This window comes from Homo sapiens, chromosome 17 (genome assembly GCF_000001405.40).
Source record: "Homo sapiens chromosome 17, GRCh38.p14 Primary Assembly".
NCBI lineage: Eukaryota > Metazoa > Chordata > Mammalia > Primates > Hominidae > Homo > Homo sapiens.
This window is the reverse complement of record NC_000017.11, coordinates 67,227,471-67,242,406: the sequence shown is the minus strand read 5'-3', so window position 1 is coordinate 67,242,406 and position 14,936 is coordinate 67,227,471. Positions and strand designations below refer to the sequence as shown.

The 14,936-nt window shown below is 40.8% G+C and overlaps 1 protein-coding gene across 8 annotated transcripts in view; it reads left to right on the top strand.

Annotated features, from left to right (window-relative positions):
* The window catches only part of HELZ (helicase with zinc finger), a 175,546-nt gene that overhangs the window by 3,583 nt on the left and 157,027 nt on the right, over positions 1 to 14,936 (top strand). For all 8 annotated transcript variants that reach the window (XR_001752712.3, XM_047437225.1, XM_047437224.1 and 5 more), the window contains exon 3: positions 2,918 to 2,974. The gene's annotated coding sequence lies outside the window, so the exon portion shown is untranslated. The remainder of the gene's footprint in view (positions 1 to 2,917; positions 2,975 to 14,936) is intronic.

Genomic DNA, 14,936 nt, shown 5'->3' with positions numbered 1-14,936 from the left:
GAGTTTCACTCTTGTTGCCCAGGCTGGAGTGCAATGACGCGATCTCAGCTCACTGCAACCTCTACCTTCCAGGTTCAAGCAATTCTCCTGCCTCAGCTTCCCGAGTAGGGATTACAGGCTTACGCCACCACACCCGGCTAATTTTGTATTTTTAGTAGAGAGAGGGTTTCACCATGTTGGTCAGGCTGGTCTCGAGCTCCTGACCTCAGGTGATCTGCCCGCCTTGGCCTCCCAAAGTGCTGGGATTACAAGCGTGAGCCACCATGCCTGGCCTTATCTTTTTTCTTGAAGCCTACAGATAATTTTGTGGAAAGGAGCCAGTGGTCTGCTTTTTGACTGTGGAGATGTTTGTTTGTAGTCTAAAATGGAATACTTAGAAGTAGGTAATCTTGTGTGGCTAGTGTTGTTTGACCTGAATTGTGTCAAGACATTTTCCACAGTTCTCACACATGTAGACTCTGTGAAGTGTTAGTATTCATTTCAAAGCGAAGTTAGTGGTTGGCCACTGAACAACTTGTTACACAAAGTATTCTAAAATGGGAAATGCCATAGTATTGAAGGTTGTGGTGAGGTAGAAGTCTGTGTCTCTGAGCTGAATAAAGACAGAGCTTTTTTAGTCTGTCCTTTTGGCTGGGAAGCTAGGACACTATTTTTAGGTAAGGCTGTAGTTTTTGGGAGTAAGTACCTTTCTATTAGCTGGTAAACTTGATTATTGCATTTGTTAACAAGAAGTTTTATTTTCTAATGCCATAGATATTAAAATGCATTGTCTTAAAGTTGGTATATATTTATAGACTGTCCAGTTTTCACTGGAAGAGGAGTGATGCCAAAACAACAGGAAAAGTCATTTTTACTTGCAAAGGGCCTCGTGTAATTAAAAAATCTACAGCATATTCATGAAAGGCTAAGAATAGTGCAGAGGGACCTACAAGTAAGTAGCCCAGATCTTACAGATGCATGTGTTCTCTATTTAAGCAGTAGGCTTGGCATTAATATTGAATGTAGATTAGTCTATAATTGTCTGTCAGAGACCCTAAGATCCAAATACAGGCCCCATACAAGAAATAAGGACCTTTGCCTGTTGTTTCAAATGTATAGAAGATTTCGGGCCAGGTGTATCAACAACAGTTATCCAAGAGATGGGGAGGAACTACTTAAAAAATTATAAGCAAATTTTTAGGTTTAATTTTCATAAACTTAGGTGAATATACATGCAGATGTAATTGGATTTCTAAGTAATGTTTTGAAATGTTTTCTAGAAGAAAAGTGATACAAGTGGAGAGTATGCCATACTATCTTACCATTCATTTCAGTTGATGAGTGCAGTCAGGGTTACTTCTGTAGCATTGGCTAGAAGCAGCATATAACATGATGGTTTATTGCTTTGAGGGTGGCTGGGATAATAGTTTTCAGTAATCTTGAATCTGTTAGAAGTGAATATTCCTCTTTTTAAAAGACCACTGTAGATGTAACAGGAAGAATTTTATTTATATATACATGTAATAACTATTTTGGTCAACTTTTAATTATTCAAAAGAAATGGAAAGTTTTTCAACTAATACCAACAGTCATACCAACTTGTTTACTTTTGTGAATTGTACTGGGTCAGTTTCTCCAAGTAAGAGCAGGAAGTTGTTTGGTAAAGCAGAGTGTATACATATATCTTGTCTTTGAACAAAAAAGAACTTGATTCATCGTCAGGTTCTTCAAAGAATGCATGGCATCTTTGTTGACTGAACTATTCTGAAGTGTGAATGTTTGTGATTTTTGTCATTTCTGTGCTATATTTTAGGTGTTCTTGTCACATCTGAATTTGCCTTTTTGCTTCCTTCTGCAGAAATTATCTTTGTTGTGATGAAAATGTCCTATAATGCGAGCTTCCTGTCAGTAGGCAACGTGTTTAACTAATACAGTTTTAAAAAATTATTTACTTTTATGCAAAACTCCTGTATGCTTATGGTAAACAAATTTGAGCAGTACTTATGTAAAGTAAAAAAGGTTAAAAAAAAGAAAAGCCTCTGTTCTTCTTCTGTCTCTAGTCCTGCTCCCTTGAGCTGAATCTGGCAAACAGCTGGGTGTCATTTAGCTTTTGGAAGACCTCTCTATTCCTGAGATATTCTGGCAGTGTGGAAGTAGAGTGAGAAGTCAGAAAAGGCATGGTCATTGAACCAGAGTTTGGATGTTGTGCAGGGACTATTCTGTTCTTATTTTCTGTGATAAGTAATAATGATAAACTACCATCAGCTTAAGATAACTGTAATTTGAATTGTGAAACATGAAAACAGTTAGTTCTTTAGTCAGGTTGGTAAAGTTTTGATTTGTTGATCTTTTAAAAGAAATATGCATGAATTGAATTCATGTAATGTTAGGGCTGGTGGGGGTTAATGGTAGTAATGAATTACCATCTGTTGAATTTTAGGATAAGCTGCACAGTATATTTACTATAGGCTTTTTATAACTCATCATCTCCTTTAATTCTCATAGCAACTCACGAGATAGTTATTTCCATTTTACAAAGGAAGAAATTCAGGCTTAAGTGTGACTCAACTAATGTAACGTCACGAGACCAGTAAAGTAGTGGAGCTGGTGTTCTTCCTGGAAAGCCTGTGCTCTTCTTTCTCTAGCTAGTCTAAGTGACTTATTTTCCAGATAAGGAAATATAGGCCTGAAGAAATTAAATGAGTTGCTCAAGGTCACACAGCTCAGTAGTAGCAACATTAAACCAAGCTTGTTTTTAATCTTTGGAGGCTTATCTCAAGACTCTTGGTCTAGTGCTGGTCATGCTACATTTTATTGAACTAGTGTGGACCAAAAGACCATATGCTGGGAATATTGGATACAAATGCTTTGGAACTGATATCTTGGTGAATGGTGTTTTCTACTATGTATTAAAAAAACTTTCTTCTTTGTCTTTCAGAAATTATAAAGAGCTCTGATGGGCTATTTGGGTGATACCCAGTGCAGTGAACTGCAGGTGAGTAAGGTTTAGAACTTTATTTAGAAAACAAGAATTTTATAATGCCTGAAAGAATAAGGTGGGACAAGGGTGAAGTGATACAGGGCTGTAGTGAAACAGTGGTAACCTGAAGGCACAGATCCTAACGGAATCGGTTACTTCTGGAACAGACTGAATGATGAACAAGCTCCGAAGAGACTGCCTGCTGCCTTGTCAGGTTAGTGTGTGAAATGAGTGAGGGTAGGTTAATCTTCCACTTCTGTTCAGATGAGTAACTGCATAGGGGCTCAGCTTATCTGCGTGCTATTGGAACTTGAGAGGTCCTTCAGTTTTTGTGTCAGCATTCTTGAGTGGCGATTACTTTGTGCTCCAGTGAACTTGGTTAAGTATTGAATTGTTTTTCCTGTTATCTGCTATTTACATAGTGTCATGAATGACTGTATATATCTGCAGTTTTGAGGATCTAAATATGGAGAACATATCAATAGAAACAAAAGGTTGAACTTTTTTTCCTAGTGGTTGTACTACCTCTATTGATACTATTAGTCTTTCAGATTATTTACTTTTTGCTGAAATACCTGTTAATTAAAAACAGTTTAGTCTTGAGTATTTATTATTTCACAGTAATTAATCTTCTTGGTCAGCTATGGTGTCTTCGTCTTTCATTATTACACTTAGAAAATGGTAATACTACAGAAATAAATTAGAAGGCTTTTAATACTTTCCTTATGAGGCATCAGAGTTAAAATTATTATTATTTTTTTGAGACGGAGTTTCGCTTTTGTCACCTAGGCTGGAGTGCAATGAATGGCACGATCTCGGCTCACTGCAACCTCCGCCTCCTGGGTTCAAGCAATTCTCCTGCCTCAGCCTCCTGAGTAGCTGGGATTACAGGCGCCCGCCACCATGCCCAGCTACTTTTTGTATTTTTAGTAGAGCCAGGGCTTTACCATGTTGGCCAGGCTGGCCTCAAACCCCTGACCTCAGGTGATCCACTCGCTTCGGCCTCCCAAAGTGTCAGGATTACAGGCGTGAGCCACCGCACCCGACCTAAAATTATTTTTAAATTAATTTTCTTCCTTTTTTTTTTTTTTTTTTTTTGAGAGACAGAGTCTTGGCAGTGTCGCCCAGGCTGGAGTGCAGTGGTGCAATCTCAGCTCACTGCAACCTCTGCCTCCCAGGTTCAAGCGATTCTCCTTACCTTAGCCTCCCAAGTAGCTGGAATTATAGGTGCCTGCCACCATGCCTGGCTAATTTTTTTGTATTTTTAGTAAAGACGGGGTTTCATTATGTTGGCCAGGCTGGTCTCAAACTCCTGACCTCATGATCCACCTGCCTTGGCCTCCCAAAGTGCTGGAATTACAGGTGTGAGCCACCATGCCTGGCCATGAATTTTCAGTACTTGTCTTTTGTGAGATATCTTCATCCGCAAAAAGCTTCAGGTCTTTTTTTTTTTTTTTTTGAGATGGAGTCTTGCTTTTGTTGCCCAGGCTGGAGTGCAATGGGGCGATCTCAGCTCACTGTAACCTCTGCCTCTTGGGTTCAAGTGATTCTCCTGCCTCAGCCTCCCAAGTAGCTGGGACTATAGGTGTGCGCTACCACGCCTGACTAATTTTGTATTTTTACTGGAGATGGGGGTTCACCATGTTGGTCAGGCTGGTCTCGAACTCCTGACCTCAAGTGATCCACCCGCCTTGGCCTCCCAAAGAGCTGGGATTACAGGTGTGAGCCACTGTGCCGGGCTAGCTTCAGCTCTTAATAAAATGACTTTCCATCCTCCCTTTTGCACTCTGGCTAAGACTTAAAAGAATATCTCCAGCTATTTTTTTACTCATCTGGTTTAAGCTGGACTTTTTAGCTTTGTGTTTTTTGTAGTTAAAAAAAAAATCTATCTACATTTTGCTTTTAATTGTTCTCAGGTCTCCTGGCCCCTGGTTCTTTGATTGTCTGAGTCCACACTGCCTTTTAACTGATACAGTCCACTGCTAAGTCAGCAAGTTAGCCTTGAGAATCCCAGAGACTTTAATGTGGCAATATTGTATATTTTTAGGGTTTACAGTGAAACTTGGGCTGACTACTTGCTGATTGGTTAAAGTAATAAATAAGTAAATTGTTAAAGTAATAAATGTTAAACTAATAAATAAATCAAAAAAATTGTTTTTTTTCGAGACAGAGTCTCACTCTGTCGCCCAGGCTGGAGTACACTGGTGGGATCTCGGCTCACTGCAACCTCTGCCTCCTGGGTTCAAGCGATTCTCTTGCCTCAGCCTCCCTAGTAGCTTGGGACTTTGCCATGTTGGTCAGACTGGTCTCGAATTCCTGACCTCAGGTGATCCACCCGCCTTGGCCTCCCAAAGTGCTGGGATTACAGGCGTGAACCACTACGCCCGGCCAGGTTCTTTGTTTCTTGAGTGTTCGCTTGTTTTGCATGATTTGTCTCCCACGGGTTCATAGGGATGATCAGAGGACCAATTGAGGCAGTTGGCTGGTCCTTGAAAAACTGGGGTTTGGGTTAGTATAGGTCATCATGACCAAGGAGAGTATGAAAACACTCAGTCAAGGCCAAAGTGAGCAGTAGAAGGGAGGGGTGGTCCTTTTGAGACTTTATCAAGCTTGTGTCCTGGAACCCCTTCATTTCCTTGGTAGGGTAGAACTTTATTATTTAATGTTGAATAAATTGATAATAAATAAATTGTTAAATGTTGGGTTATTATCCTAAGACAATTGATTTTCTTTTTGGCATTTCATTTCAAAATATACATTTTAAAATTCATTTTAAATTATGATACATTATAGTTTGATTTTTAAAAACTTACTATATCATGAAACATTTACATCTTATAGATTTTATAATTTAACTTTATATATTGAAAGGCTGCAAAAATAATTTCATCAAGTCATGCTACAATTTACCTAAGTCTTTTTATGTGAAGTATTTATACTGCTGTCTGGGTGGTTTTCAGTTAACACTTTAATCTACATCATTGTAGATACTGTTGCATTTTTTCTAATGATATCTTAAGGATAAATTTTGGAGTGTGTTATTATGTTAAGGGGTATCAGTGTTTTTATGGCTCCTCACATATATTGTCCTACTGTTTTCAAGGGTGTTATACCAGTTTGTGCTCCTAACAGATATATGGATATACCTGTTTTACCATAAGTAGTAGAGAAAACCATTTTTCTTCAGAAGTTTTTGTGAATTTAATAGTGTAAAATGGCACTTTCATTTCTTTGTTATATAATGTTGAATTTAACTATTTGAGCCTCTTTATGGTGAACTGTTTGTTGATATCAGTTGCTATATTATGCAATTAACTATTGTAGGCTTTGAATGGTAAGGCTGGTATAATATGGTCAGTAAAAATTGTTCACAAGAGTGTGTGGTCGAGGCTGGGTGCAGTGGCTCACGCCTGTAATCCCAGCACTTTGGGAGGCCAAGGCGGGCGGATCAGGAGGTCAGGAGATCGAGACCATCCTGGCTAACACGATGAAACCCCGTCTCTTCTAAAAATACAAAAAATTAGCCGGGCGTGGTGGCAGGTGCCTGTAGTCCCAGCTACTCGGGAGTCTGAGGCAGGAGAATGGTGTGAACCCGGGAGGTGGAGCTTGCAGTGAGCCGAGATAGAGATAGCACCACTGCGTACAGCCTGGGCAAAAGAGGGAGACTCCGTCTCAAAAAAAAAAAAAAAAAAAAAAAAGAGTGTGTGGTCAAAATGGTAAATGATCTTGGGAAGAGTGTTTGAAGGGGAACAGATGGATTATTCCAGGATTCAGTTCAGCAAGTATTTATTGGGCATCTGCTGTGAGCCCCTTTGTATCACTGCTCCTCTGAGTGGTTCTCAAGTTCTTGTGATGGCATGTGCTGGGTTGAAGCAGGACACTGCTTGAGGCTTGACCATTTGTGGGTTCTGGCTTCTGTTGTCTCTCTCTTTTTTTTTTTTTTGTGAGGGAGTCTCGCTCTGTTGCCCAGGCTGGAGTACAGTGACACGATCTCGACTCACTGCAGCCTCCGCCTCCCTGGTTCAAGTGATTTTCCTGCCTCAGCCTCCTGAGTATCTGGGATTACAGGTGCGCACTACCATGCCCTGCTAATTTTTGTATTTTTAGTAGAGACGGGGTTTCACCATGTTGTTCAGGCTGGTCTTGAACTTCTGACCTCGTGATCCACCCGCCTTGGCCTCCCAAAGTGCTGGGATTACAGGTGTGAGCCACCGCGCCCGGCCTTCTGTTGTCTCTTTGTGGCTGCTTGGATTGCTGAGAAGACCACCACTGTCTAGGCCATCTTTAACTCATTCAGGGCATACCAGTGTGCCATGGCACACCCTTTGAGAAGCTCTGTTCTGAGGGATCCAAACATGAAGGAAACATTGTTCCGTTGACAAGGAACTAATTATCTGTAGAGAGAATGGGGCACCCCAAAATGAAAGGACTAATAGGAATTTCATAGGTGCCATTGAAGGGGGCCATACAAGGTACTTCGGGATTAAGTGGAGGGAGCGATACTGCCTTCTTGGGGATATCAGGGAACACTTCCACTGAAGAGGTGGCATTTAAATCACACCACCAGGAAGCCGAGAAGCAAAGGGAAGAGGGCATTCTGGAGGGAAGTCTGGGGGTTATGTCAGAAATGTGGGTGTCAGGAAATTGCATATCCAAGTTTCCTGGGTCCTAGGATACATAAAGGAATATAATGGAAGGTAAGACTGCCAATAGGTCAGGACTGGGTTTTGGGGAGTTTTTTTTTTAATATTTAACTTTTTGTTATTTTTATTTTTTATAAAGTTAGGGGTCTTGCTATGTTCCCCAGGCTGTCTTGAACTCCTGGCCTGAAGCACTTGGCCTCCCAAAGTGCTGGGATTACAGGCCTGAGCCACCACGCTTGGCCTTGGAATTTCTTGAATGTTAGAGTAAGGATGAGTATGATGGATTGTAGGGAAGAGAACTGAGAGACAGGGCCTTTAGTTGGGTTCATAGTAGTCTAAGTGAGGGCGATGAGAACCTGAATTGAGTTGGTGGCCATGGAAAGGATTCAAGAGTTATCTTGGAGGTTGAATGGAGAGATGTGGTGACTAATTAGATGGGGTAGGGTGGGAACAATTAATTCTGTATCTCTGTGTTTTTTTTTTTCTTTTTTCTTTCTTTTTTTTTTTTTTTTGGAGTACAGTGGCTCCATCTCGGCTCTTTGTAACCTCTGCCTCCTAGGTTCAAGCAATTTTCCTGCTTCAGCCTCCCTAGTAGCTGGGATTAGAGGCACAAGCTACCACGCCCACCTAATTTTTGTATTTTTTGTAGAGATGGGGGTCTCCCACGTTGCCCAGCTGGTCTTGAACTCCTGAGCTCAAGCCATCCACCTACCTTGGCCTCCCAAAGTTCTCTCTCTCTCTCTCTTTTTTTTTTTTTTTTTGAGATGGAGTCTGTCTGTCGCCCAGGCTGGAGTGCCATGGTGCTATCTCAGCTCACTGCAACCTCTGCCTCCCGGGTTCAAGCGATTCTCGTGCCTCAGCCTCCCGAGTAGCTGGGATTACAGGTGCCCGACACCACACCTGGCTAATTTTTGTATTTTTAGTAGAGACGGGGGTGGGGGTTTCTATGTATACAGAACTTGAGTTCTATGTCTCAAGTCAGAGATGAGGCTGTGGTTTTTATGGTTGGGTGGCTGGAAGAATGGGACATTAAAGAAAAAAAAGAATAGGGAAGTCAGGAGGGAGAATGGCTCTTAGGAGTTTAGAATGAAGATGAATTTGGTTTTGATTGTGTTGAGTTTAAGGAGCTTGTAGAAAGTTGAAATCAGAATTTTAATCCTAGAAGGAACTTCAGAGATTATTGGGGCAACAGCTAAGGAAGTTTAGGGCCCTGAAAAGTTAAGAGGACTCAGTGAGGTCTCACAATTAGTTAAAGTAGAACCAACATGGAAGCTTCAAGATTCCCAGTCCATGACTTTTCTCTCTGCTTCACACTGAGAAATGCTGAAGGTTCTTAGCGGTGGTGTCTCCTCACCCAGGCAGCAGTGCTCAATAGAGAGTAGGAAGTGCCATAGTTATGTTGGGGAGTGAGGACTTTATTTTCTATCTTTTAATTTTATTTTTAAATTTTTTGAGACAGGGTCTTGCTCTGTCACCCAGCCTGGAGTGCAGTGGTGCGATCTCAGCTCACTGCAGCCTCCGCATCCCAGGTTTAAGCGATTCTCCCACCTCAGCTTCCCAAGTAGCTGGGATCACAGGGGCATGCCATCACACCCGGCTAATTTTTGTGTTTTTAGTGGATATGGGGTTTCACCATGTTGGCCAGGCTGGTTATGTTTATTTTATTTTTTTGAGACGGAGTCTCGCTTCTTCGCCTAAGCTGGAGTGCAATGGCTCGATCTCGACTCACTGCAACCTCTGCCTCCCAGGTTCGAGCAATTCTCCTGCCTCAGCCTTCCCAGTAGCTGGGATTACAGTCATGTGCCACCATGCCCAGCTAATTTTTGTATTTGTAGTAGAGACAGGGTTTCACTCAGTTGGCCAGTCTGATCTCGAACTCCTGAACTCAAGTGATCCACCTACCTTGGCCTCCCAAAGTGCTGGGATTACAGGCGTGAGCCACTGCGCCAAGCCCAGGCTGGTTATTTTTTAATTAAAAGTTTTTTATTATGGACATTTTCAGACATACAAAAGTAGAAAGAAGAGTGTAATCAATGCCCATGTACCCATTGTCCAACTTCAACAGCTCTCAGTATTGTTTCATCTGTTTCCTCCCTCTGCATCAATTATAGTGAAGCAAAAGTAATCTGGTGACCTTAAATTTTGTGTATTAGCAAGTAAGAAGAGTCAAAAAGTTTAATAGGGTATGTTCTTAGGTCTCTGCATGGGGTCTAGAGTAAAGAGAATTAATTCCAGAATTCCTATGCTGCCGCAATTTTGTGTCTTTGGGCGAATTAACTTAAGTCTTCTGGGACTAAGTCTTGTTTTCCATGACAATGAAAACTTATTGCTTGTTAAAAATTTTAAAATACAATGCCAGACACAGGGGCTCACGCCTGTAATCCCAACATTTTGGGAGGCTGAGGCGGGCGGATCATGAGGTCAAGAGTTGGAGACCGGCCTGGCCGACATGGTGAAACCCCGTCTCTACTAAAAATACAAAAATTAGCCGGGCATAGCCGGTTATGGTGGTGTGTGCCTGTAATCTCAGCTACTCAGGAGGTTGAGGAAGGAGAATCGCTTGAACCTGGGAGGCGGAGGTTGCAGTGAGCTGAGATTGTGCCACTGCACTCTAGCCTGGGTGACAGAGCGAGGCTCTATCTCGAAAAAAAAAAATTATAAAATACAGATGAATAAAAAAGCTGTAATAGCATCACCTGGAGATACCCAGTTTTATTTTTGTAGTAAACTTTTTTTTTTTTTTTTTTTTTTTGAGATGGAGTCTTGCTCTTTGTCCCAGGCTAGAGTACAATGGTGTGATCTTGGCTCACTGCAACTTCCCCCTCCCGAGTTCAAGCAATTCTCCTGCCTCAGCCTCCTGAGTAGCTGGGATTACAGGCGCCTGCCACCACGCCTGGTTAAGTTTTGTATTTTTAGTAGAGACAGGGTTTCACCATATCGGCCAGGCTGGTCTTGAACTCCTGATCTCAGGTGATCCACCCATCTCCGCCTCCCAAAGTGCTAGGATTACAGGTGTGAGCCACCGCACCTGGCCTGTAATAAACTTTTCATTTTGTAATAATTTTAGATTTACAGAAAATTAAGAAGTATAGGTCAGAGTTCTCATAAACTCTTTACCCAGTTTTCCCCATTGTTAATGTCTTAGGTTTCCACGGCACGTTTGTCAAATGTAAGAAACCATTGTTGGTACATTTCTTTTTTTTTTTTTTTTTCCGACAGAGTCTGGCTCTGTCACCCAGGGTGGAGTTCAGTGGCATGATCTCGGCTCACTGCAAGCTCCGCCTCCCGGGTTCACGCCATTCTCCTTCCTCAACCTCCCGAGTAGCTAGGACTACAGGCGCCTGCCACCACGCCTGGCTAATTGTTTCCATTTTTAGTAGAGATGGGGTTTCACCATGTTAGCCAGGATGGTCTCGATCTCCTGACCTTGTGATCCACTTGGCTTGGCCTCCCAAAGTGCTGGGATTACATGCGTGAGCCACCACACCCAGCCATTGTTGGTACATTTCTATTAACTAATTTTTAGACTTTATTTGGATTTCACCAGTTTTCCCACTAATACCCTTTTTCTGTTCCAGAATCTATCCAGAATCCTGCAATGAATGTAGCAGTTTTGTCTTCTTAGTCTTTTTTGGGCTGTGATAGCCTCTCAGACTTTGTTTTTCATGACAGTTTTCAGGAGTACTATTTGGATATTTAATAGAATGGTCCTCAATTTGGGTTTCTCTGGTATTTTCTTCATGATTAGACTGTGTCTTATCCTTCCTGATTTTCTTATGCAAAATATTCAATACTTACATATTTCACAAAAATGAGATGACCATTATTTATAATCTGTTTTTTACTTACAAAATGGGATTATACCATATATATTATTTTGTAACTTGCTTTTGTCACTTTAAATCTTCCCAGTAACCTTATTGTTAACACTGTATAGAAAACTCTGTTCTCAGTTTTAAAGTCTGATTTGAAAATACAGCATTAGAACATAATCTGTTGGTAAATTGAAGATGGCTTTTAAGGGGCTGTGATAGTACTGGTGGTAGTAGTAATGTGATTCTGTGTCTACACAGATAATCTGGAAGCAAAAATCAAGAAACAAAAAGAATAGACAATGTTTTATAGTAATATAATTTTCTTGGCAAGCAGTAACCTTTTCTAGAAGTCAGCCTTTTAGTATAATTTGCTTGCTTTTTTTTTTTTTTTTTTGAGATGGAGTCTCACTCTGCCACCAGGCTGGAGTACAATGCCGCGATCTTAGCTCACTGCAACCTCTGCCTCCCAGGTTCAAGCGATTCTCCTGCCTCAGCTTCCCAAGTAGCTGGGATTACAGGAATGCACCACCAACCCCAGCTAATTTTTTGTGTTTTTAGTAGAGACAGGGTTTCACCATGTTGGCCAGGATGGTCTCCATCTCTTGACCTCGTGATCCGCCTGCCTCGGCCTCCCAAAGTGCTGGGATTACAGGCATGAGCCACTGTGCCCAGCCTTGCTTGCTTCTTAAGTATGGGTTTTTTGTTTCTTCATATCTTTTAAATTAATAAGCATGTTAAGTGATTTGGGAAGAGGCTCAAACTCTTCAAGAAACAATTTGGAATTCTTGAAACTAAGAAGGCTAGCTCCAGAATTGCTGGAAACCCTGAAAAATGGATCAGGAAAAATCAAAGTAATAGATGGAAAAAAAATCTCAATTTTAGCTGTTGATATAATTTTTAGAAAATTCAGTTTATCTCAGTCATTAAAACAGATGGCAGAAGGCCCATCAGGATATTTCTTTTATGTATTTAAAACATTCTATACTCTACTAAATTCCACTTATTCTAAAATTTAAGAGAATTTACCTCTTTATGAAAATGATTATTCAAAAGAGACCACGGTTGATGATCTTAGTTTCTAGTTTTCTTCTCTGTAGGCTTAGTCTCTCTTCTAATGCTTCTTGCATACTCAGTGATTTTATGTTTTAGAGAAAAATGCAAGTCTGGCTGAATATTAAGTACAGTACAATGAGTAAAACTACTTTGCAGACTATTTTGCCTGTGTATACTATAGGACTATATAGATTCCAGTTTTGGAAAAATGCAGATGAACTAAAAGGTAATAAAACATGCCTCTTTGTGACTTGACATGCTAATGAGAACTGAATTTGGTACAGGACAGTTCTTGGTATGCTTGGCATTTAGGTCATCTTTGGGAAATTTAATTATTTATGGAATGGTTTTAGTGAATTGAATGGTTGTCATGGGGATAAAGATGGTATAAAATGGATTCTAATTTATAAGATAGTTGTGTTGGGCAGATAAGGCATTTTACACGATGCATTTAACTCAAGATAATAGATGATTCAGAGGCCAATTAATTCTATAGGAAGTAATGCTATTTTAGTTTTGGGAGGAGAGCATCTTAGAGAAGTAGATGTTGAAGCATTCGTTAAAATCTGGGTAGGATTTAGGTCCAGAGAGAGGCGAGGAAAGGATGTTCTGGGCAGAGGGAACAATGTTATCAGAGTCTCAGAGGCCTGACTGTGTACTTGGGGCCTGTGTTGGGGTGATGGGCAAGTGAGGTTGTAGCCAGATTGGTGGTGGCCCGGATATCTGTTAATGAGCTTTGACATTATTTTATAGGCATTTCAGAGTTATTGTGCCATCTCTAAAGTATACTTTTTCTCCCTCAGGAAGCATGATACACTTTAGCCACACTGGCTTACCAGGGCCTTGCTGCTCAGTGGGGAAAGGGGCACATTCTGATAGGCTTTCTTCCTCTTCACTTGGGTTACTTTAATTATGTATCAGCTGGGTGCAGTGGCTCATGCCTGTAATCCCAGCACTTTGGGTGGCCGAGGCGGGCGGATCACCTGAGGTTGGGAGTTTGAGACCAGCCTCACCAACACAGAGACACCCTGACTCCACTAAAAATACAAAATTAGCCTGGTGTGGTGGCGTATGCCTGTAATACCAGCTACTTGGGAGGCTCGGGCAGGGGAATCTCTTGAACCTGGGAGGTGGAGGTTGCAGTGAGCCGAGATTGCGTTATTGCACTCCAGCCTGGGCAACAAGAGTGAAACTCTGTCTCTAATAATAATAATAATAATAATAATAATGTATCAATTTGGCTTTTCTTTCGTCACAATAAATTTTTTTTTTTTTTGAGACAAAGTCTCCTCTGTCATCCTGGCTGGAGTTCAGTGGGGTGATCTCTGCTCACTGCAACCTCTGCCTCCCGGGTTCAAGCAATTCTCATGTCTCAGCTTCCAAGTAGCTGGGACTACAGGCTTGTGCCACCACTCCCAGCTAATTTTTTGTATTTTTGGTAGAGGCGGGGTTTCGCCATGTTGCCCTGGCTGGTCTCGAACTCCTAAGCTCAGCAATCTGCTGGCCTGGGCCTCCCAAAGTGTATTTACTTTCTAGTTTCAGGTTAGTAACCGAATTTCCACAAGGAAAGCAATTAGAAGAATTAATGGCAAATAACTAACTTAAAAAATGTGGATATCCAATTTTTTCTAGCAATTCTTCTGATACAAATTTTTGTTTTGTTATATAATGAAACGTGCATTTTATTATATTTGTCCTTTAAGTTTTATTGTTTATATAGCCTAGTAAGTAAAGATATCTTGGGGTCTGATTAAGAACCAATTACGGATGTTAGTAATTTCTATCAAAGGAGATAGTGATTATGGTTAACATAACTCATCAGTCTTCTAAAACCTTTAGAAATGCAGTCTGATTCATTGCACCTAAGTTAATTATGTGGTAGATACATATTTTTTTTCTAATAGGCAAATGTATAAGACAGAGATGCAGAAATCATCTTGAATTTAGATAGAAGAAATTTTAGTTACTACTGTGGCCTCTTGCTATTTGATCAGTTTACTTTTGCTTAAAGTCTCTCTGTTAACAAAGGATTTGGTCTTTTGAGATCAAAGAAGACCATAACTACATTAACAAGAGAAGTTAATTTGAGGAATATAGCTGATTTTTAAAATAAAAGCATATTTCATGACTTGATTTCAAGGTGGTCTGGTGGTTCTTCTCATACTGTCACAGACAGAGGTTCAGAGTGGAAAGATTGATTTTGTTTTTCTTCCAGCATTTACTTTTGGTCCTGGACCAACCATCTAGCTATGATGCAATTCTTCAAAAGTATTCTACATTTTTTGCCAAGAGAGCTCAATCATTGTTCCATTTGGAGAGGTTCTTTTTGAGGCTCCATTCTTGTCTCTAAAACCTACATATGCAGGAAGGGAAGTGCATGGGTTTTCTGTTTATTCACAGCACACTTATCCTGCTGCATTTTCTTCTTTGTAGTTTTAAAAAATCATGTCGGTTGGGTGTGGTGGC